The sequence below is a fragment of the Homo sapiens genome, chromosome 4, assembly GCF_000001405.40.
Source record: "Homo sapiens chromosome 4, GRCh38.p14 Primary Assembly".
NCBI lineage: Eukaryota > Metazoa > Chordata > Mammalia > Primates > Hominidae > Homo > Homo sapiens.
This window is the reverse complement of record NC_000004.12, coordinates 113,003,431-113,029,397: the sequence shown is the minus strand read 5'-3', so window position 1 is coordinate 113,029,397 and position 25,967 is coordinate 113,003,431. Positions and strand designations below refer to the sequence as shown.

At 36.0% G+C, this 25,967-nt stretch overlaps 1 protein-coding gene and 1 long non-coding RNA gene across 44 annotated transcripts in view, besides 1 other annotated feature; both read right to left on the bottom strand.

Moving 5' to 3' along the window:
• Positions 1 to 25,967, bottom strand: part of ANK2 (ankyrin 2) — a 678,115-nt gene that overhangs the window by 354,339 nt on the left and 297,809 nt on the right. The gene's annotated exons all lie outside the window — the stretch shown is intronic.
• Positions 1,622 to 7,874, bottom strand: LOC124900761 (uncharacterized). Its single transcript, XR_007058234.1, has 2 exons — positions 2,264 to 7,874; positions 1,622 to 1,909 (listed from the first exon to the last, which is right to left on the bottom strand). It is a non-coding gene; the product is annotated as an uncharacterized LOC124900761 (long non-coding RNA).
• Positions 4,503 to 5,040: an enhancer, noted in NCBI's record as "NANOG hESC enhancer chr4:113945514-113946051 (GRCh37/hg19 assembly coordinates)". NCBI's record gives its function as "activates a minimal SCP1, AML or CMV promoter by ChIP-STARR-seq in naive H9 embryonic stem cells {active_cell/tissue: H9 hESC(naive)}" and the evidence as "EXISTENCE:reporter gene assay evidence [ECO:0000049][PMID:30033119]".

The window sequence follows — 25,967 nt, the reverse complement described above, 5'->3', positions numbered from 1 at the left end:
CTGGGTGAAGTTGTGTGTGCCTATAGTTCCAGCTACTCAGGAGGTTGAGGCAGGAGAATTGCTTGAGCCCAGGAGTTAGAGGATGTAGTGAGTTGTAATCATGCCACTGACTCCAGCCTGGATGACAGAGTGCCCTGTTTCCAAAACAAAAAAAACAAAAACAAAAAACGAATCCTCCTATCATGAGTCTTTCCTTTAGAATAATTTTGCTTTCTTAAAATATTATTTTTCTAAGAATTAATAGCAAGTAATATATAATCCACACTTATGTATATGTTCAAAGTGCCTGGAGTTTTTTCAGTTACTCTAAATCCAGCTTTTTATTTTTATCTTCTAAATCCACTCTATTGTGTTGACACCAGATATGATCAGGTCTTTAGAAGCTGAGTTGCACTAACAGAACACGTAGCAACATGTTATTCCAAGATATTAGCTTATATTAATACACCATGATTGAGTTGACTGAGTACTTCAATCCCCTACCTGAGGAGACTGGGTATATTGGGTTCACATACAGCAATATGTAATGGAAGTAGATGGTCTTTGGGGTATCTTTCCTGCAACCCGGGAGTTAGTGAATCATTTTTCCTCATTGTGGAAACAATACGCATTTTTTGTTGTCTCAGATAAAATCATTCTTCTCATTTATTTTAGGTTTCTTATCCCAAAACCTGCTTCAAAGCAAACATGTTATCTTAGTAGGACAAGGTCAATTTATAAATTAAGCCCCTAAACCAAAAAAGGGCCTCTTTTACTTGAGTTGTTGCAAAATAAATCTCCAGCCTTCCTTCATACCTCCAAAGATAATTGGCTTTTACTCCTTTGTTCCACTGTGTCCTTAGAACATGTCTCTATTGTAGTGCTTATATACCATCCTACAATTATTTAGTGTATCAGCTTCCTGACTGCATAGTAAACATCATGAAACAGTCACCTTTGCGTAGTGCCTAGCACAGTGCCTGGCACAACATAGGTGCTTAATATGTGTGTTTGTTGCATGAACGAGAGATAACAAGTGTTCTCTGCATTTTTCTAACTTGCTGTGTTCTGACTGACCTCTGGACAGTCTCACCTGTTTTCCCCTCTGTTCAGAACCACATTTGTTTGGCTACCTTCTACACCTCCCCCAGGTCTCATCCCAAAGGTCATTACCTCTGAGAAGCCTCTGTCCCACTGGATCAGGTGCTTGCCTACTCTGTGCTCTCATAGTATTTTATGGCACTTGCTGCACTCTATTGCAGTTGCTTAATTGCTCACATCCCCTACTAGATACAAGCAAATGTGCAAATTGTTTACCATTGCCACCAAGGCAAAATCCACAGTGTGTGTTAAATAAATGTTTGTTTGATGGATTATCATCAGTCACCTATTTTAATAGCTTTACCAGAGTAGAAGAATATTTGAAATAAATAAATGGTGAAGTCAGGGGAATGCACATTTTACACCATCTTATTTTGCTATTTTTAACGTAAACAAAATTATGTCACCATGTTACATAACCTGATAGTGTACTGTAAACAAAAAAATCAATCATTTCATCCAAAATCACCATTTCTAAATAAAGCCACTAGTCTCCTTCCTCTATGTGAGCTTTGTTTTTGAGAAAATTTCAACAAATAGATAGATTTCTATTTATTTATATTTATTTATATACTTCCCAATCAGCAGTTACGTTTAATTTTCTGCAAATAATAGGCCAGCAGGAATATTTAAATTTGTGAACATGGAAGTGTGCCATAACATTCAATAGGGATAAAAGGAAATGGCTGTAAGACACCTGGGGACATGAGCTCTTCCTTAGCTCTTGGCATCCTGATATAATGCTGCAGTCTCCAGGGCAGAAGCATATGGTTCCGCTCCAATAATGGTGGCCCCAGGAAGAAGACAGACACTGAACTCAGTAGAAGGGCTGCAGGTAAACAGGCAGAGATCAGGTTCTGAACAATCAGCAAAAATAATCACAGAACACTCTTGGCTCAGACTGACCCCACAGTAACTTTATTGAAGCATAACCTGCCTTTAAGGATTCATTCCTGGGATCTGGAGGTGCTTACAGACTAGAGTGATTTTCAGACACAGGAGAGATAGCGTATATTCTGTAATCTGTGAGTTAGCGATGGTACTGAACTTCTGAATATACACAAATAATGAGTCATAACTTTATTAATCATCCCACCCAAAAACTATCAAAATAGTTTATTCACACACCATAGAGGGGTTCGCATATGCAAGATAAGCAAGTCAAAAGGAGACAATCACTTACTTTCCAAGATACCAAGGACAATGAAGAGGATGTATCACCATCCAACTTCAAGCATGCACAGGTATTCCCCATATCCAGCACGCCATCTTCACTGAAACAGATGGATTCCTCCACTCTCACCCCAGCCCTTCTTCCTTTGTGTCCAACCTCCTGGAAAAGCAGCATACCTCTGGATCTCCCAGTTTCTCACCTCTAATCCCTTTAACCTTCTCCAGTCTGGCTTCCATCCCAACTACTGAAAAAAGCCACCCTTTCCAAGGTTTCCAATAACCTCCTCTAAGCCAAATCAAATTGCTTCTTCCCTATACTAATCATTTTTTATTTTTTTCCTTCAAAAGGCCAGTCAGCAGAGCTGACTATTATGAATAACTCCCTTTTCCTTGATTACTCATCGTCCTGCACTCCCAGACATGATCCCATTCTCTCCAGCTACTTCGATCTATTTTCTTTGCATGCTACTAAATCTTTTCTATGTTCCACAGTTCAGCATTTGAGCCTTTTCTTATAAATAGTTGTCCTCAGAATTACCAATGCTCCCTGTCCACTGAAAATACCTCTATAGGTCAAAATTTCCTACAAAAATTCAATCCAATGAAAGTTTTGATGTGATAAAAATATCTGATGATCAGTTGTTGATCTCCAGTTAAAATGCTTTGTTGATATAGTTGAAGAGGAAAGAGTAGACACGGTTTCTGTTATCAAGGAATTTAAAATCATAGTTCTCTGGCACAGAAAGGATCTTCAGGACATATATCACAGCAATCTGTGGGCCGGATATGGCTTTGTTGTGTTTCATTCAGTCCACATGGTTGGGGTTTGGGTTTTGTTAGAATTCACATTTAGAAGTCAGGAGATCTCATATAAAAATCTGCTTACTTCTTCTGAAAACTCCAGTCTGTCAATATTGTGCTCCCATTCCTACATGACAACAGATAGAACTAAATTGCAGCGGTCCTTTTTAAATAGGGCATTTGCTTTCCACATAGCAGGTCCCAAGTGTCCGTGGCCACGTATTACGGCATTTGTGTTGTTTCCTTATAGTAAAGAGGGAAAATAAATGTACCATATACGCTTTGTCTATTGAATGCCAAAGTGCAAAATGACCAAGAAAGCAAGCAATTCTTGGGCCCAACCAGTTTCATTTATTTACTTAACCTGCTGTTTCTGTTTTACATTTTATAAACTAGAAAATTAAAATGCCCATGAAAGTGACATAATCTACATAAGTTCACCTTTATATCATTGCCTACTTCTTAAAGTGACATAGCTATCAGGTATAGCAGCCATTCCTCCACATTAGTTATACTACCCATACCTCTACATCTCTCAAAAGCTGCTTTTTCACAAAACAATTTCTGATCTCAGAGTGAGACCCCCTTCCCCTCCACCCTCAGATCTCCTTAGCAATTTAAATTTATAAATTTCACAGAGAAAAAGAGAGAGGTACTCATTAGCCATTCACAAGAAGCCAAGAAACATAATGTACAAAGCTAATTACAACTGCATATGGAGAGAGTTGCATTCATTTTGAAGGAATGAAGGCATGATTGAAGAGAAGCCTTAGAAAGTGTCAAGAGATTGATTTTTAGCAAGGTTTTGAATAGAAGGAACATTATGTGCCAGGAATTTGGAGTTTATCCATAAGGCACAAAGAGAAACGTACATTTGTTTGGACAAAGTAAAGAATACTAGTGGAGATGGGCCTACTTCAAAATAAATGTGTGTGGAGGGAGTAATAGAAAAGAAATGGAATATGGGGACACCCAGGCAGATTCCCCAAATCCACATATACAACCTTTCTTCCTCTGTCACAATTTTTACATCACAGTATGTGCATTGTGTGGGGTGAGGGGCATCGTGTATGAAGGTAGCCATTTTGTACATGTTACCTTGTTAAAAACAAAAGAGCAGCAACATGTTTAGAGTGGTGTCTATAGATAGAACACTGCTGTTATGTTTAAGGAAAATTGGGGCAGGGGGCAGAAAAGATCAATATGACTAGTTAGAAGACTATTAAGGAGAACTTTGTACATGAATTATGGATGTAAGAATTAGAAAAAAAAAGATGATCATGTTCAGAATTTTAGCTTTTTTACAATTGTAGTGGAAAAGAAAACTCCTAGAGTAATGAATCAATGGTATCCTACAAAAAGAGAGGTGCCAAAAATACCATGAAATATTATATTAAAAAATTCACACGAATAGGTAGTTATAATATGTAAAGACAGACTTCTTTTTATTTATCTAAAAGAAAATTTTTTATGGGAAAGATAAATATTTAAATAAAACATTCTACTTTTCATCACTATCACAGGACATGAAATTTTGTGACTAACAAACGCATAGAACCAATAACCTAAATTGTGTTATCTTCTAGCGTCAAACAATAATTCATATATAGCATTCATTGTATGCTCTTTGTAAGTGGGAAGTAGAAGTGTATTTAAATTTGCATAATGCCATTGGAGTCTTTAAGGAACAAGTTATACAGTCATTACAAAGACACAAGGGAATGATTTGTCCTTAAGTACTTTGCAATTATCCTGCTAGCCACAGACCATGTGACTATTGCTTAGTTACAAAACTTCTGGCAGGTACAGTTTGTTATAAGAAGTATTCCCTTGACAGTGCTAGATTAAAAAACAAAATAGTGTCTCATGTGTTTATTTTTGTAGATCAAGGAAAATTTTTGTATCCTTTAAAAATTTTTGTTTCTCTCAGTCAAATTGACAAATTAAGTAACTAGAGAGAGAAAAATTTTAATGAGGAAAAATAAATCTAATATCCTAAATTTCAATAACAGGCTATCTCACCTGTGTCTATCTGAGAGAGTGTCTAGTATACTAGTAATCTTTAAGAGTAAAATATTAACATATTTTATTCTTTATTAAACCCTGCCTCTGTGATGGAGGAGCATGCTCTCTTGATAAATATATAATTTCATGCTGTTAACAAACTAAGGAATTTATCTATATTCTTTTCTGGTTTTTATTCTCTTTCTTGGTCTCTTTAAGCCTAATATGAGCCTATGTACTGTGCTAATGAACTAGAATATGCGTAACATTACTATAATGGAAGGTTTAAATTGAAGTCTACCTTTCACACAAAACAAATTTTGTAAGCCCTAGGAAGAAAGGGACTTTATCTGTTTCCTTCACTGTTGCCTTTCAAAATTATCTTCTTGTAGTGTAGAGGGGTCCCCAATAAGAATGTGTTCTGCAATATGTTCCCCCAATCTGTGCATGTCTTCTACAGAAAGGGTTTTAAATACATACGATTAAATCAAAAAAATTATCTTCTCGTGAAGAAAATTCATTGATTATCTCTCAATTATTTATGAAGCATCCACTAAGTGTCAGAAACTGATGTAGGTGCTGTAGATGTTGCAATGAACAAAACAAAGACCCCGCTGTCATACAGCCTATGGTGTAGTGCATGAACATGAAGACAGAAAACAACGATTAAATAAATGAAGATGAAATGTTGCCGGTGGAGATACAGGCAACATATGATAAGCAGAGGTGGTGCTATCTTATGGCAGAGGTGGTGCTATCTTAGATGTTGTGGTCAGACACAATACCTCTGAGAAATGATATTTCTTCAGGGACCTGAAAGGAATCAGAGAGTCAGCCACAAGCATATCTATATAGAGCATTCCAGGCAGAGTAGACCTCTCTGCACCAAGGACCCAAGGGTAGAGCATGCATGATGGGCATGAGAAAGATGGAGGAGGCCAAGGGAATGGACTGGAGGGTGGGAGGTGGACACAGACGGGGCTGAGGTAGCTGGGGCTGCCCATGCAGGGACAGAATCTTGCTGGGTTAGATCATTGGTGGGAAGTTTGTGAAACGAAATGAGGGCTTAATGTCTAAGTACAGAAAAAATAATGTGAAATGTAAGATGTGATCTGATTTCACTATAATCTTTAGCCTATAATTATGAACTGGCTCACTTCTGTTTTCCCTCTCATTCATACTCAACCTAGTTTTAAAATATTTTATTTTATTTTAAGTTCCAGGATACATGTGCAGGACGTGTAGGTTTGTTACATTCGTAAACATGTGCCCTGGTAGTTGGCTGCACCTATCAACTCATCACCTAGGTATTAGGTCCCACATGCATTAGCTATTTATCCTGATCACACTCAACCTATTTTTGACTATTAGACACTCCACAGAGTTATGTGTGTGCAATTTAAAAAAAAAATCAATCCAAACATTTAATATTTTTGTAAAACTTCAATAATAGAGACATCTCCCCTTTTGCTGTAACTTCATTGTATTGATTATGCTAACCTCTTGAAATTCAACAGCATTGCTTCCATCAGGATGATAAAACACAATGATGGGAATTTGGCTAATTTTTCAAGTCTCATCATTGCATCATCCAGTCAATGAAAAGTGATATGAAGTCTTTGCTAAAAATAGTCCATGATTCTTATGACACCAAATCTGCTGGCTTAAATTCTTCAAGGTAAGTGAATTAGAATGTCAGCAAGATTAATAGAATAGGTAGCAATTATAGTTTTACTTTCTAAATTTTCCTATTATGGTAAGCTGTAAATGAATGAACGATACCCTAAAATTCCATGTACACTCAGTGTCTAGTGGCAGGCAATGATCAAGTGCTTACAGGATGCGACTAAGATGCTAGACTCACCAAGAACAAGGCACTGGATAAATCTCTAAACCATTCTAAGTCACTGTGAAAGGTGAAGCATTTGAACTAGAGCCCTGTCCAGTTGGAAAATGTGATTATCCTGGAATTGCGTACCAAATATGATGTAGATAAGTAATGCCCAATTTTAGGAAGGGAAACTAGAATTGATTTTAATAGAAGTAATGCTTTTCCTCTTAGTTTCCAATCTGGTAAAGGATGCATTTCATAAAAGATGGGAATTGTGTGGCTGAATTTGCTAAGAAATACTAGTCTCGACATTTATTTGTATTATCAAATACATATGTCCAGCAACACTAATTGGACAAATTGATAATTTGCCCTATTTTCCCTTCCCAGGTAGGGTCTGTCTCTCTCTCTGTGTGTAGAAGCAAACTTGCTAGACCCCTAATCACCAAAGAATCCCCAAATTTTTATGTCAAGGTTTACATATTAATATAAAATTACCCAAATGGGGGAAACATTTAAAGGCTCTGAAGGTTTTAAAAAGAGGGAAATGGACGATGAAGAAAGCCATGCTAGGACTGCCAGCTTCAAAGTGGGAAGCTGAAGGTTATGCTCTTTAAGCATTACTTTCGTTATTGTTAATATTTTAAAACATAGTTAATTCTTAAAACAATTTCATCTCTGTCTCTTTCCATTTAGATTCTTTAGATTCCAAGCTCCTCAAAAGCTGTGGCTCAGATTACTTAATGCATATTTATATGTAACACGAATTAACTAACAAACACATAGAGAAGTACAGAGGTTTTCATAAATGCGTAATAAATATCTCATTCAATGAATCATAAATACTTGCATATATTTCAGAAAGTTATCTCCTTATAAAGACAGTGTCGGGGCTCAGAACACGACACCCCAAAATAAGGCTCCTTGGCATATATATATATATATATATATATATATATATATATATGTTTGTGTGTGGGTGTGTGTGTGTATATATACACATAATATATACATACACATACACATACGTACTTATATATATGGAAAATTCTTACTTAAAGCCATATTGTCTTGAAACAAGAGTGGAAAGTGAGAGACTACATTAGATCCATCACTGGAATAAGTGGTCAGTCATTTTGGCAAACTTGATCTCAGCTTGATCATTAGAGACCCATGAAGCTGTTAAAAACAACTCACACTAACGACCTAGCTGAATAATGGGAATATGCAAGGGAGAAGAAATGTTATGTTCCAAGAGTACAGGGCACTCTGAATTCTCTGTGTATAAAAGCTTCTTTTCATTGGAATTCAAGAGACAGAAAAAAAAGCCCTTCCCTCTCTGTGCTTTTGAAGGGTTTACATCACTGCTTCTCACATTCCAGTAATTTAGCAGAAACAGCTGTTCTGCTGTCCCAGGCAAGAAGCCATGAACTGCATTCCAAAGAATATGCTCCATGCTGTTATTATTTATTAATTAATGCTATAGCCCCTGCCTCATAACAAATGAATATCTGTGAAAAAGTCTAAAAAGAAAGAAAAATCATTTATTTTCTCTGTTTCCTGAACACAAAGCAATACCCTGATTTTATATCCTTATCCTCTAAATGGACTGCTACACTATTCTATTTTTCAAATACATTCATTAAGCTCTTTTCTTGTTTTGGTAGATTTTTTTCTTTTTTTGAGACAGAGTCTCACTCTGTCGCCCAGGCTGGAATGCAGTGGCGTGATCTTGGCTTGCTACAACCTCCACCTCCTGGGTTCAAGTAATTCTCCTGCCTCAGTCTCCCGAGTAGCTGGAATTACAGGTGCATGCCACCATGCCCGGCTATTTTGTATTTTTAGTAGAGACGGGGTTTCACCATGTTTGCCAGGCTGGTCTTGGACTCCTGACCTCAAGAGATCCACCCACCTCGGTCTCTCAAAGTACTGGGATTACAGGCGTGAGCCAGCGCAGCCGGCCATTTTGGTAGATTTTGATCAGAAAAAACAAATTATCGTTAAGACTGCCTCAGGCTGGGCACCATAGCTCACGCCTATAAACCCAACACTTGAGGAGGCAAAGTGGGGAGATAGCTTGAGCCCAGGAGTTAGAGATCAGCCTGCACAACACAGCGAGACCCTGTCTCTACAAAAAATAAAAATAAAACATAAATTAGCTTGGGGCAGTAGCATTTGCCTGTACTCCCAGCTACTAGAAAGGCTGAGGTAGAAAAATGGCTTGAGACCAGGAGTTTAAGCCTGCAGCGAGCTGTGATTGCACCACTACATACTCCGGCCTTGGGCAACAGAGAAAGACCCCATACCAAAAAAAGAAATGAACAAACAACAACAAACTGCTTCATAAGTAAAAGTATAGAATCTTCTTTGACTCTCAAAAACATTTACATTAAAAAATAGTGAAAATTAGAAATATTTTGAATACAGCTTTTTAAAATGATAAGCATTTAACAAAATTTCTGCACAGCTGCTGTCAATCCTGAAAAGCCTAACCAGTTACCTAGGACTTCCAAATCATAGCAAGACCTATGTATCTTTCACATAATAAACAATATCCAATCTTTGAAGTTTGCCCCTTATCTATACAGTTGCACTATGTTTGTTAGATAATAGGTAATCCCTTCCTAGCCTAGGTTTAAAAAAAAAAAACCAATGTAAACATATTCAGATTATTTAGAAATACATACACTATTATTCTGGATCTTTATAAAAAATAATTTGACTTCTTCAGATTTTAAATGAGTGATCTAACTCATCTAAGCAAACAGAAAAATGAGAGCTTTTCCCCTAAAACATAATAAAGTTTCAAAACCAGATTCTGGGAAGTACTGAAATTTTGTTGATTACCATTATAATTTTCTCATGTACAGATGGTATTTTTAATGTCTCAAAATGATTGTTAATCTGTGTTCATAAATCAGTTACCTCTTAATTTTTAAAAGATTGAATCCATTCTTTCAAAAATATCTAAAAACTAATACAAACCAAGAAAAATAGTTGTATTTACTTATTAGTCAAAAACAAATACAATTTTTTCTGGAATACTTTGTGTGTGTTTTATTATACCTGATTTATTTCTGTCCATATGATCAAAGGCTATCCAAAAGCAAATAACAACATTTAACCGAAACTATCTTGCTTAGAAGAACTGACTTGTATATGCCTAGGGCAAACTTTAAGTACAAAAAAAGTTATGCTTATAATTCTATTTACAAGTGTGGTCAGAAAACACGCTCTGTGTTTCCATTTCATCCTATGTGTAGTGATAGAGAATTGGTAAGAACTTTTAATTAAATATTATTGAGAAATAAAAAATATGTTAATGGGATATTTTAAAATGTTAAAAACCACTAGCAGTAGATTATTAACTAGCCTTTTTATACATATAACCTGAACATACCTGTATCTTTACATGTAAGTATGTACATACCCCTTTTATTACGACCTTAAATAAAAGCATTAAAATCTTATCATAAATGCTCAAAAAGGAAGTTGCATAGTTGTTCTCCTCAAATGGTTAATTTGGGGAGGGATCCAATATTTGAGGAGGTTCAGCTTCACCTTAGAATTATGTGTCAAATTAGATAAAAAGCATATTAGATGACCACAGAGGATTATAGAATTAACACAAGAAATTGATATTGTTGCAAGAATCAGCGACCTTTCAGAAGCAGTAAGTCAAGTCTGTTTATCCGTATCTCAAGGAATTAAAAGTGAAAGAATGACACTACCTGCAAATTAGCCCTTCAAGAAGATCTGAAGGATGTTGTTACATCCCTTGGCTGAAGCATGATCAAGAACAACCTAGAGAAACACCGCCCATGCTCAGGTTCCTGTGCCTCTGCAGGATGATAGGAGGAGAAACCATGCAGGTGCTAGAATTGGTATATTCTTTAGAGTTTTACTTTTGGTTGATCCTGGCTACACCCTGAAAAGTCATCTCACATACCATATTTGGCAAAAGTGCAAATGGATGCTAACCTTAAGTCTAAACTCTAGATTTCTGAACTAGCAAGCTGTCAAATAGTAAAGAAAATTTAATTTATCTTCCATTGACATAGGCTTTTCTCCTAAGAGAGTATGACCAACTCCTATGACATTGATTCTTTACGCGATGGTTCCTTTGAGATTTTGCTACCAAAGTAAAATCATGCATTTTATTTGTAAGCTGGTGTTTTGATTGATGGTCAAAGACTAATATCTCTCAAAATATGGCCCTTACTCCATGATAGACTTAATTTCAAATTTTCTCCAAGTCACAACCACTATTTGTAAAATGACTTCCTGTCAAGTTACCTGTGTTTTATATCATTAATTTCAGCCAGTTGCCTCCGGCTACAGAACAGTGGTTTGTCAGTTTAAACACACAGACATCAAGACTGACTGACGACTAAAGCTCTTTAAAAATCTAATGCACTAAACATTTCATCTTGTTATTTTTCAAGGGAAGTATAATCAAAAATTGCGATGAATTCCCATTGCTTTCACACATATTACTTTGAACTTTCTTTTTTGTATCTCATTAAGTCCACAAAAGGAGTTCTTCAGCAGTCTTCTGCTCTTATACCCACCACATCCAATTATTCAGAAAATGAATGTTTTCAATATCAGAGGATCAAGTATGATGTGATGGGTTATTTGACACTAAAATAAAGGTAAGGAGAAAAAGCCTTTCAGAGTAATTGGTATGAATCCCATTGCATCACATACCATTGGGGTCAGAGTGCCTACTTAATAGAAACTTCCATAAGAATTGTATGCTGCAGCTGAAGTTTTACCTTCACTTGCCAAGTTTTTCTAATCCATTTTCAAGTGCACTTAAAACAACTGGCACATCAAAAATCTATACAAAATTCTGCGTGTGAATGATAGATGCAAATCCAAGGTTTGGATGGAACCCAAATAATATGGGTTTCCAAAAGATTTGTAGTTGCAGCATACTTCACAAAGGGAGAGTCAGTTGACTAAATTATAGAGTCTGCAGAAAATGTATGATAGTTCTAATTTCTGCAATGTTGGTTTAGCTTTTCCTATTTATGACAGGCCAAAGTAGAGGCTTCAGTCTTGCAGAGCTTCTTCTTCAAACAAAAAATATCAAAGACATGCATGGAGCAGTCTGGGCTTCATCTTTTTTTTTTTTAATTAAAAAAAATTCTGTAGAGCTTATATCATCAACCATAATGTTCACAAAATAGATAAGTGGCCGAATCAGAGTTTCTACACACACATTTCTTGAAAGTGAAACATGTTCTTGGGAAAATTAAGCTATATAATGGACTCAAGGAATATAAAATAATTTTCATATGTAACTCTATAAAACACAAAGATAAACAAACCCTTACAGAGAAAATACAGCAACATATATAAGAGGTCAAAGATTAGCTACAAACCTTCTTGAAATACCTTTAAGTTAAATTAAGAACTGTCTATTCACTGTAGGTGTTCATAACATTTTTGCATGTGGTATACCACATTTCTAAGTGTATACTGCATAAAAATGAAGTGAACGGGATAGTAGATGATAGCGGTAATTCACCTTCACCTGCTGGAGAAGGTATTCAGGCCAGAGTATGGAGAAGTGACCCCTCAAGCACTCCAAGTTGATGGGAGGTAGGGCAGTCAAGGATAACCCATGCTCCTCAGCCTCAGCCTCAGAGGGCAGGGTATAATGGCAGCAGCAAAGTGGCTTCTTCACATCTTCTTGTCCTCAGTAGTTCTTTAGAGCCTTTCCAGTAGAATGTGTCTCTACAAACCAGAATCAAGCTTCCTTTCTGCACCCCTGCCTTGGATTCATTTCCCTATTGTCTATTTTCATTCCTTTGTGTCTTGAAGGTAGCTCTTTAAAAAAGGACAAAACTTATGTTGGGGGAGATGGGTTAACACTCTTGTCACAAGAGGTGGAGGGAGGAATTACACAATCAGCTAATGCCTTCATCAGCTTTTTAGCCCTATGCAAGGCTACGGTTGCAGTTCAGTGAAGAATGTGAGACCTAGAGAAGAGCATCCCTGGAGCAGAGAAGAGATGGCAGGAGGGCTCAGAGTGGAAAGGATAGTTGCCAAAAATATGTGATAATTTTGCATTATACCAAAACTGTCTTGCATCAGTATTTGGCACATAGGCACAAACTGCCAAGCAGAAACTTGGCGGGTGAAGAACCTATAAGAGTTTGTGCCTCCGGAGTACTGAAAGTGTCCACAAATGATTCTATGGGCCACATATTAGATGAGGTATATACCTCTCTAAGGCCTTTTCAGTCTCTGCCTATTTTCCCCCAATGACAGGAAACTTGCCCTCTACTAGGAAATTTGAAAAAATACAGGTCAGGTGCAGTGGCTCATGTCTGTAATCCCAACACTTTGGGAGGCCAAAGTGGGAGCATGGCTTGAACCCAGGAATTTGAGGTTGCAGTAAGCTATGAACAAGCCACTGAACTCCTGCCTGAGTGACAGAGTAAGACCCTATCCCAAGAAAAAAAAAATTTTTGAAAAAAAAAGCCATATGAGAATTTTCTCTGATGAGTCTCTCAAATGGTTTTACATCTTTCTTTCTGAAAAAGTTTGTGTATGTTTTGCCAATATTGCCTTTTAATGACCACATTATTATCTCCTTCATTAATCATTTTCTGGTCTCCCCAAATGTGCTATTTGTTATTCATCAAACCTTGAGCAAAGCCTCTTAAATTTATGCTGAATTTTCTTCAACCCTCCAGAAAATAAATGAGCAAAAATTCATGTAAGTAGAAAACATGATAAGACAAAATATACCACAATTGAGAATTCAAAATCTATAAGGTTTTTATACTACTTTTAAATTACCTTGTGAAATGGCACCATATGTAACAATAATCATTAGACCACGAAGTTTGCATGGAAAATGGAACATGCTTCAATGTCATCCTACAACCCATATATTTTTCGTTATTCATTAAGTTGAATTAAGGGCAGTAAGCAAAAAGGAAAACTAATACTAATATTTTGAATGGCCTCATGAACATATTAAATCATAACACTTAGTTCAACAATTGAAGATTCAGTAGGCAGGGCACAGAGAGCTGCAAGGTAGATGTTCTTAAAGTTCGGACATATGGTCAGGAAAGCAAGACCCTTTGAAATGTCAACTAATCACACTATTTAAAAATTGTCATATTATTTATTTAGGTTAGTGCTAAGTCTATTCTCATCCTTAATCACGACCTTGAAGATTAGGTATTATTATATCTTCTCACAGATAGGAGAAAATGAAGACTTATGAAAGATTAGGGACTTACCCAAAGTTAGACACTATTATGTGCCAGGGTTATTTCTAACAAAATCTTTAAACCTGCTCTGTAAACAATAGATAAAAAGCTCTGGCCGGGCGCGGTGGCTCACGCCTGTAATCCCAGCACTTTGGGAGGCAGAGGCGGGCGGATCATGAGGTCAGGAGATCGAGGCCATCCTGGCTAACACAGTGAAATCCCGCCTCTACTAAAAATACAAAAAATTAGCCGGGCGTGGTGGCGGGCGCCTGTAGTCCCAGCTACTCGGGAGGCTGAGGCAGGAGAATGGCGTGAACCCGGCGGGCGGAGCTTGCAGTGAGCCGAGATCGCGCCACTGCACTCCAGCCTGGGTGACAGAGCGAGACTCCGTCTCAAAAAAAAAAAAAAAAAAAAAAAAAAAAGCTCTATGATCCACATCTATACAGACAATGTCTCCCAAATCCAATATGATGAGATTATTGGCTCCTATATATTAAGAACACTATATGACTGAAACAGTACTAAATGCTTTATATACACTTTCTCACTATCTTTACAATAACTTGGAGAAAGATGGAGTTTGAGAAAGATAGTGCACCCCTAGATATGCTAACCAAAAAACAAAAAAAAAGATTCTGGGCCAGCAAAGCTGTGGATGAAATCATAGGCCGTGAATACATCTAACTTACCCCAAACAAACCAACCAGTATCCTTTAGAATAAAGCACAGTTGTTTTAAGAGCTGGCTCTGTAGGTAGATCCGGGTTTGAATTTTGGCTCTGAGACTTAATAGACATGGTAGTCATGCAACCTTGGGTGAGTTTTTCAACCTCACTCTGCCTCAGTGTCCTAACCTGTAGAATGGGAATAATAATAGAATCCTCCTAGGGTTATCGCAAGTCATAGAACCTTCATACGGTTATCATAAAGCTTAAGTGAGTTAATAGTGAAACTCTTACAACAGTGCCTAGTACATACTTAATTATCAAAATATGTTGGCTTTTTTATCTTTTAGACTATGAGCAGCTTGATATTTATTGATTACCCAGCCATCCTAGGGAACCTTCAAATATTTTCTCTTTTATTTTTCATTTCCATTTTATTTTTCATTTCATTTTGGGGTCTCCATAAAATAACATGCAACAGACAGGGAATGCTACTTATAGTCCATGCCTGATGCAAACCCATATCCAGCCAACCTAAAACCAACTCTCTGGGCTCTAGTGCTCAACCTGTTAAAAATATGTAGTTATTTTAATTCCTTAAATTGAATCAAATTCCACATACAAGATTGGAATGAAACAGTTGCACAACCTTTTTTCCCTCACTCAAAAGTTTAGGGCCTAAAACTAGAAAAAAAAAATGCTGATTTTAAGTTCCACTAAGATGGTGATTTATGAAATCCTTAAGCTAAATATTTTAAATACTTTTGGAATAGGACAAAGCAGATATTTAGTAAACACGAGGCTTTTGACTTTAAGACTAACTCCTGACCATTTCAATGTTTTGAGTGTATGTTTGAGGGGAAAAAAAATGTTCAAAACCACAATAGACCAAACATAAAGACAGTTTTAAAACAGTTTGAAAATATAATGTAAAGTTACCTTTAAGAAAAGCCACTGCCAAGGAAACACATATATGTTTTATGTCTCTTTATTTAGCAACTATAGATATATGTAATGTTTGCAACAAGATGTTAAAAGTAGTTAACTCTGGGAGATTTTTAACTATCTGTTTTGTGCTTTCTAAACTGCCTACATTTTAGATAAGTATGAAGTACTACTATAATTAGAAAAATAGAGCTATTATCATTTTGAGAAAGACATAAATACCAATAATATATAAACCAAAAATAATAATATAATTTTTGGAGTCCTCAAGTTTCTGCTCTGTGACAGAAATATGAAATGATACTTTTCCTTTTAAAATTATCAATGTATGATAACCTTGTGAACTCTTGGAAGAGTCAGATGGAAATGATCTTTGACTAGGTAGGGACTACCGAATCAAAACACCTGGAAAAACAGGCTGCTAAATTACCACCCTGGTTCTGTAGATTACACACTCTGAACGAATCATAAATTAGAGCGCAGTTCATTGGGGCTATCAATTCCTTTCCAAAGTATGGGATTCCTGCCTTATGCTAGCTAGGATCACTTTAAAATACCACTGAGATAAACAATGTCTTTCACTTATGAATTCCAACTGATTGCAGGGAAACTTTAAAGTCCTAGCAACACTGTTGCTATAGCAATGCAACCTGATTAGATATTCTTAGCAACCAGTCACAACTCACGCCCACAAAGCCCCTTCACTTATTCTAAGAAGAATAATGTTGACATTCCAATTTCTAAAATATACAGATCTCAGTGATAGGCATCTATGGATGAGAGGCCTGTGAGATCCAATGGAATAGCATGCTCATGAACGACGCACCCAGGTCTTGAATATGTGATATGTATATTCAATAAACACATATAAAAGTAGGTTCTGTATGGCTAGAAATTAAAGAAGGATTTCATTTGACTCTTGGAATACAGGTAAATAATGGCAGAATCCTTGAATTTTATATTGTTATAGCTAAAGTTTTACACACTTCTCAAATTGCATATTTTTTCTGCTAAATTAACAGATATAGTGATAAAATTATATGTTTGCCACAAACAGCAATGATTTGACATTTTGACTCTAAAGCTTTGATAAAAACTGGTATCTCACTTGAAACACCGCAGGCACTAGCCATAGAAAGGGTATGGTTAATTAAGAGGGTATACAGCAGACATGTGACCTTGATATCACAAATGCTTAAACCAGAGTTGATATGAGAAACTGATGGAGCTTATTCTCTGAAAGGAAAGACCTATCGCATTCTCAACAGGATAAGCTGTGAAGACTAGATTCTGGAGTTATTCCCAGGCAGATTTTAATCGGGAAGGTCAGATGCATAACCAAATCAATGAGGGCACAGAAAAGACAATTACAGCTCAGAAATCTGTCAACATGGCCCATGGTTCTGTAATTAAATAAAGGACACTTTTCTATAACTCCAGGTCCTGAATCATTCTGTTTTGATAGGGAATAAAAACCAATTACCTTCTCCTCCTTCCCCTGAATGGCTGCATTTTCGTGGTAAATAATCCAATCTCTATATACATGCAGTTTCTGTTATAAATGGAGGATCAAGTGTAAAGGCATTAAAGTGAAAAACAACCAGGACCAAAGAACATGTTGTTGTTGTTGTTGTTGCTTTTAAACATGATGAAATTTGAGCCTCAGACATGGTATTATGAGAATAATAACCCTCAACTCAGCTACAGAATTAGGAAACTCTTCCGAGAGGACTTATTTTTTAAATATAAAATAAAATTTCTACATAAGAAATATGCATAAAATTGTTTGCACAACCCTTACATAACAATTGAATGTGAAGGGTGGCAGACTATGCCACCCCAAAATATGCCACTTTGGCATAAAGAATTATTTTGAGCTAAAGGCACTTAAAAAAACAGCAAGTGCAAGAAGGATCCTCTGACCTCCCCATTTTTGTTCCTAAAAGCAGGAGATAAAATATCCATATGTAAGATGTCCTCTCTATACCAGAAGGAAAATTACATCCTTGTCACCAGAGACAGGGAGTCAAGACCCAGAGAAATCTTGACAAACCAACCTTGTTAAACTATCCCTTATCTTCTAGTTACTTTTTCATGATTAACGACTCTAGGCCAAGCTCTTTTGTCTTGTCACATTTTCACAATCCACTACTCTCTGTCCAATTCTGTATATAAGCATTCAATTCTAACTGCTTCTTTGGGTCTTCATTTCCTTAGGAGAGCTCCCATGTCACATAAAAGTCACATTAAATAAATTTGTATGCTTTTCTCCTGTTAATCTGCCTTAAGTCAGTTTAATTCTCAGGCCCAAAGAACTCTAAGAGAGCAGAGATAAAATTTCACCTCCCCTACAAATATATCCTAAGAAAATGATCACTAATGTCCACAAATATATGTCTAGAAAAACATTTATCCCAGCTTAAACATTTTATCTCACCTGAATAACCTAAATGGAAACAGCATAGATGTATAAAAATGTGACATTAGCGAAATTGATTATGCTGTTTTGTATTATGAAATACAGCTCCACCATCCCCTTACTATTATCTTTAAATCCAAAATATGCAGAAAATCAAAAGTTTATATATAACTTATTTAGCAGCAAAACTTTTTCTGACCAGGACTCATTTGACACCAAAACCTAATCTGAAGTGAGGCTAGTCATAGTCATTTTCTCACACAGTGTGATTATTCTTGCTTCACTAGAGGTATATTAATGTGTGTATGACAGATTGCTGCCCCACTGCCCCAGACACTGCTGAAAATGTTACCTAATGTATGTATTTAACCATATTATGTTTCAAAGGTTCAAAAAATTCTAAGCTATCTATTACCACAAGAGTTTTATATGAAGAACTGTGACATTTATATCTAGTGGGAAAGAGGACAGGTTAAAAACTGTGTACACCTGGCATTCTCTACCTAAAATACTCTGTTTGGGTATGGATTTATAAATCTCCTGAATTGGTTCCCATCTACCATGTCTAAAGAGGACTCCTCTTTAGGCTCTCCATCACACCAGGCTGTTCATTTCCTTCCTAGCATTTATCACAACCATTGATGGTCTCATTTGTTTCTTTATTTGCATATCTAATGACTGTTTTCCCCAACTAGGATGTAAGTTCTCAGAGAGCAGGGACCTTAACTGTCTTGTTCACTTCAGTGTTCCCAGCATCTAGTGCAATGTCAGGTGCATAGTCTACGCTCAGTATGTATTTGTTGAATAAATAAATGGATGAATAAGTAAACAAATGAGGTTTTTAAAACATACATACATTAAAATATTTTTAATCCAATATTACATTTTGATAGGACTAGAGGTAACTCTTTTTTCATTTGGGCTTATCTCTATGTTTGAAATGTTCTTTGAGGGAAATATATTGGTTTTGTAGTAGAGAGAACAATTTTTAAGTGGATAGTGATTAAATTGATTGACATTACAGGAAACACTTCTCTCAGAGTACTTATATTTACCAAATTATACAATCTTACTGATATCAACAATTTCTTCAAATAAGAATCACACAATACAGTTCCTTCAAAAAGAGAAACCAGGCAAAATAAAAGCAAAAGGTAAAAGCCCCAGAAGTAGTTTCACATTTTCTTCAATTTTTTCACCTTTTGCCATGTGAGGATTATTCTCTTATTTGCTAACTTCTGCCTAATTCCCAAACCAAAGTGCTGGCATATTATACCACAAGCACGTGTGTGTGAGTGTGTGTGTGTGTGTGTGTGTACTCTCAACAATGGGGCCTTAGGAAACATAGAATCTAAAACCTTTGGGCTCATTAATGAAGATACAGTGAGAATTAAAAGCACATCCCTACTCCATAAAGAAAAAACATTTTTAAAATACACAGTTGAGTATTTCCAAACTTGATTTACCACAGCACTGAGTTACTCTGCATTACTTTACAGAAGACACATACAGTCAAATGTTGAGAAATCCAAATCCTTTCCCAAGCCACTTATCATCAGGAGTGGTCCAACACTGAGCCAGAGAATATGCCCTGTGGGTCCTCTGACCCAGCTGAAGTCTCTAGAATCATGGGATGCTCATGATCGGGAAATAAAGGATAAACATGTTTTTAAAAGGCAGGTTAGTTACATTTATGAAAAATCTTCTCGATGTATTTTTCTCCAATCTCCAGACATATTTCAGGGCTCTAAATTTCCTGGTGTTTACAGGTTTTTTGCATACTCTATTTTGTACTTAATGTATGTTTTCAGATTAACAATTGGACCCATTGCCATAAATTTAAAAGTATTTCAACTAAAAAGGTATGGAGAATGAGAAAATATATAGAGAACACATAAAATTTTAAAATAGTGAATATATATTTAAAACAGTTTTCAAAACTTTAAGGCACTCTGTAGTTTTCAGAATATATTTAAACTAAAGAACAGCAAGGATTTGCCATCATTTTGAGGAATCTACTTAATACCACATCCATCTCACTTAGTTCTTGCTCTGATTTCAACAGCATCCTGAAACAAGCAGCTCAAAAAACAAAAACCTAAACAGAACAGTGTTCTCCTTTGTCTGCATGTTTATAATTTAAAACCTTTGATTCAAGAATGGTGGAAGAACCAGTTCCCAACAGCCTTCCACGTATACTTCTGTGGATAGGTGTGTTGTACTGTAACTTAAAACATGCTGTTTAGGACAAATTAAATTCTTTCTCTGAGGCCCCACGAGTGAAGCAGCTGATCAGCAGCTGCAAGATTTTTTGCTTTATCTCCCTGCTTTTCTTTGTTAGCTGTGGTCACTGAGCCCTTTTCCCCAATGAACAGGCTGAGTCTGTGGGACAGCTGGACTGGACTGCTCCTATCCACCACCTAGACACAGAATATAGAATCACAGCCTCATCTGCCTACCATCAGCAAGGATTGTGCTTACTTTCAGTAATGGAGTGTCTGGGCTATTAAATAATAAAATATCCCACTAATGATACAAAATGGAAAATGACCATTTCCCCCCTGTGTCCTCCAAATAGAATTTGGATACATTTATATATTACCTTTCTGCAGAAGAATCATCTCACTTTTTAATTCACATATGACACCACATACCAAAGGCTTATTTTAGGAACTCCAGCTTTGCACCAAACATAAGTTAAACTGAAATTCTTATATCATTTATCATGTGTTAATTTCATGTAAGTAAATTTCAAAATTTGAGCCTATTGGCTTATAACCAGGGGTCACAAATATTCTTCCAAATAGGAGAATTAAATTGCCTGTGGAAAACCTCCAGTGTGAACTAAAACTAAAATAACATTTCTATTGGCATATCAGAATTCTAGGGCTACACTTGCAAAAGCAAACAGATGGTAATCATGTGAGGCTTTTCTCTAACTACAAATGCAAGTCTTATGTACAATAAACTCCACTCAACTGCCTTTAAAAGCTAATAAAGTGTAGCACACAAAGCTTTATATAATGTTTACAGTCCTATGCAGTTGGGAAATCCTGAAACTATAACCCTAGTTTATTTCCATTAAAAATGTAATTCAAAAGGAAAGACTCATTCAGTTAAAAAAAAAAAAAAAGGAAAAGCTTAATAAGTTAATGGTGTAGGTACCACTTTTTCCAGGTAAAACTACTGTAAAATGTAAGAATTAACACACTACAGGATGATGGCTCCAAGGAGAAAAGTGTATGCTGTTGTGGCAAGATTTCAGAGGAGGTGAACTGGAATGCTTGAGTTCACTAGTTTGGAGTTACACAGTAATCAGGAACAGAACTATGCAATTTATGTATATTGCATCTTTTTGCTGCCATATCTCTACCACAATACAATATGGTTTCATATTGAGTTTGCAGTCCACTCCAATACTAGCTTTTGTTAAGACTAGTCAAGTGCAAGTAGTGAGAAGGCTAATACGTGTTTTAATTTTAGTTATGCCTGTGCTTGTATAACATGGCTTATTTATTCACTTTTATTTGCTTCTGTTTTTAAGTCTTAATTGTAGTTTAAGGTACAAATTTCCTTATCATCAATAAATTCTGTATGTATATTCACTGTTTAGCAATCGAAGTCTTAAATTTAATGTGATGTGGTTGTAAGTCATATTTTCTGACATCAAAGTCTTTCAAGAGCCCTTTCTCTTCTGTAAGTAATAGTTTTCTTCTGAGATGGGGAGAATAAAACACTTTCTAAGAAGCACACGGGAAAAAAACATACTCTGATGCCCTAAGAACATCGTATTTGGGTATCCTGTAATGGAACTGCTGATTATATACAGTTTCTGAGTGTAGTTGTCATCAGGCAAGGATAAATCTTTGGGTGCTCTGTGACCAGAACCACACTTAGCCACCTGCTTCTCCAGGATAGCACAGCCTGTGGCCATATGTGTGAAAACGCCATTCTGAAAAGCTGAAAGCTTACTCTTTTCCCCAGAGGACAAGATGAAGGTCAAAATATTTATACTAACCGCTGCACAAAATACTCAAATCGGGCAGCTTCATGTATTACATATTTTATCCATTTTTATTATAAGTTAAAATAAGTAAATAACATTTGAGCAAAGTATGTACCCAAAAAGAAATAACTGATTTTTTAAAAAATATATCACTGTTTTGGAAAAGCAATGGATGGCATATCGATGATTTAAGACCATTTACTTTCTCAGGCTAAATAAAATGTTAGCTTTTTGGTTCCAAAATAGACGATAAGAAGAGTAACCATTTTCCTTGTTCTAATTTTTCTGCTAATTGTTAACAATTTTTAAAGTACAAAATTTTCAGAGAAATGTGTCAGTCAGGTTCATAATGGATTCATGACAAAGTCCTACATGTTTGAAACCAAATGTAAGGAGATATATTGCCCCACCATGAGGCAGGATAAGGAAAAGGGAAAAGATAACACTAGACCAAAAGATGCTGAAATGAAGATGCTTTTAAGCAAAAGTTGATTTAATTTTTAATTTAAAATTGTATTGATATTTCTAAGTACATTAACCCAGTTACAAATAAATCTGTGAATTAAATAATATGTAAAATTGCTGGATCAAAGAATATGTATATTTGTAACTTCAATAGATATTGCCAAATTGCCCTGTAGAAATCCTGTGCCCATTTATACTCTTATCAACAGTCTATAAGAAAAGATTGTTTCTCCACATTTTCTAACAAAAATTATTACCAAGACTTCTTATGTTTGCTAATCTGAAGGATAAATAATGAGAGCTCAATGTATTTAAACTTGTCCTGCTCTTGTGAGTGAAGTTGTACCTCCTTTCACATGTTGAAGAGGCACTTATATTTCCTTTTCCACTATCTTCTCATCTCTTTTACTTATTTTTATTGGCTCATCAGTCTTTGCCTTATTGAATGTGGGAGCTTTTCCCTCCTTTTATTGATATATAATAATTTATGTATTTATGAGGTAGATGTGTTTGTAACATATGTTGAATGTGTAATGACCAAGTCAGGTTGTTTGGGCTATCCGTCTTCTCAACTGTTTATCATTTTTATGTGTTGTATGATTTCAAGTCCTTTCTTCTAGTTACTTTGAAATATGCAGAATATTGTTGTGAAGAATAGTCTCCCTATGTGTTAGTCCATTCTGTGTTGCTATAAAGGAATACCTGAGAATGGTAATTTATAAAGGAAAAAAGGTTTATTTAGCTCACAGTTGTTCTGCAGGCTGTACGCAAGGCATGGTGCTGGCATCTGCTTCTGGTGAGGGCCTCAGGAAGCTTACAATCATAGTGGAAAGTGAAGGGGAGCCAGCATGTCATGTAGCGAAAGAGGGAGCAAGAGGGAAGAGGAGGAGGTGCCAGGCACTTTTAAACAACCAGATCTTGCATGAACTCATAAAGTGAGAACTCACTCATTACTGTGAAGACAGCACCAAGACATTCATGAGAGATCCACCACCACGACCCAAATGCCTCCCACTAGGCCCACCTCCAACACTGCAGATCACATTTCAATATGTGATTTGGAGGCGGCATACATTCAAATCATATTACCCTAGTCTACTATCAAACGTTAAAATGTATTTCTTCTATCTAACTGTATGTTTGTACCCATAACCAATCTCTCTTCATCCTCTCTCCTTCCTACCCACCCCTCACAGTCTCTGGTATCTATTATTCTATTCTCTATGTCCATGAGAGCGACTGTTTTAGCTCGTACATATGAGTGAGGACACGTGGTATTTGCCTTTTTGTGCCTGACTTATTTCACTTAACCTAATGACCTCCAGTTCTGTCCATGCTGCAGCAAATAGCAAATCCTCTTTTTATGGCTGAGTAGTATTCTATTGATTATATATATCACATTTTCTTTATCCATTCTTTCCTTGATGGGCACTTAGGTTGATTCCAAATCTTTGCTATTGTGAATAGTGCTGTGATAAATATGCAGTGTGGGTACCCCTTTGGTATACTGATTTTTTTTTCCTTTGGATACATACCTAATGGTGGAATTGCTGGGTCATAGAGTAGTTCTATTTTTAGGTTTTTGAGAAATGCAAGCTTTTTATAAATTAGGTAAATTAGCCCTGTCTATGATACAAGTTGCAAATATTTCTCCCTGATTTCTTATTTCTTAAATTTATTTATGTTGATCTTTGCATGATGCAGAAACTCTTGATTCATATGTAGTTGAATTCATCAGTCTTCTTTCTTATGGCTTATTGTTTTCATGTCTTAGTTAAAAAGCATTTACTCACTTCAAGGTTATAAAAAGATTCTCTTACGGCTTATTAAAATACAGTCATGCGCCACGTGATGACATTTCAGTCAATGATGGACACTATATATGGCAGCAGTCTTAAAGGTTATAATGGAGCTGAAAAATTCCTATCACCTCGTGATGTCACAGCTGTCCATTATGTCACAGCACAGCACATTACTCATGTGTTTGTGGTGATGCTGATGTAGACAAACCTGCACTGCCAGTTGTATGAAATAATAGCATATACAATTAGGTACAGTATATAAAACTTGATAATAAACTACTATGTAACTGGTTTATGTATTTACTATACCATACTTTTTATTCTTATTTTAGAGTATTCCCCATCACTTATAGAAAAAGAAGTTAACTGTAAAATAGCTTCAGACAGGTCTGTCAGGAGTTATTCTAGAAGAAGGCGTTGTTGTCATAGGAGATGACAGCTCCATGTGTGTTACTGCCCCTGAAGACCTTCCAGTGGAGCAAGATGTGGAGGTGGAAGGCAGCTATGCTGATGATCCTAATCTTATGTAGGGCGAGGCTACTGTGGGTGTTTGTGTCTTTGTTTAAGAAAAAAAAATTAAAAACAAAAAAAATTTTTAAATAGAAAATAGTTTATAGAATTAGGATACAAAGAAAACAAAATTTCTTTATATCCTAATTGTATAATTGTACAATGAATCTGTATTTTAAGCTAAATGTTATTATAAAAGAGTCTAAAAGTTTAAAAAAACAAAATGTTTATAAAGTCAAAAAGTTACAGTAAGCTAAGGTTAACTTATTATCGAAGAAAGAAAAGCTTTTCAATATAAATGTAGTGTAGCCTAAGTGCACAGTGTTTGTGAAGTCAACATTAGTGTACAATAATGTTCTAGGCCTCCACATTCACTCACCACTCACTCACTGACTCACCCACAGTGACTTCCAGTCCTGCAAGCTCCATTCATGGTTAGTGCCCTATACCGATGTATCATTGTTTATCTTTTATATTGTATTTTTACTGCACCTTTTCCATGTTTAGATACATAAATACTGATCATTGTGTTATGATTGCTACAGTATTCAGTACAGCAACATGCTGTACAAGTTTGTGGCCTAGGTGAAACAAGCTATACCATATAGCCTAGGCATGTTGTAGGCAATATACCATCTAGGTTTGTGTAAGTACATTCTAAGGATGAATTTGTCAGAACATATCCCTGTCGTTAAGCGACACATGACTGTGTTTCTTTTATGCTTTCATTTCTCACATTTAAGTATTCAGTTCACTATCATTTACTGTGGTGTAACACAAGATCACTTTCTCAAACTGGACCACTGACCCTACACCAATTATTGGTCTCTACAGACTTGGGATGTCACCTTGATCATATAGTCAATCTTCATATGTATCCAGTTTATTTCTTGACTTTCTCTTCTGTTGCATTGATTTGTCTCTTTTCATATTCCATACTATATTCTACATTTTATAGTATTTAATAATATTCGGCCAGACCAGTTCCCTCATACATTACTCTCCTTTGCAAGTATTTTTTCAATAAAT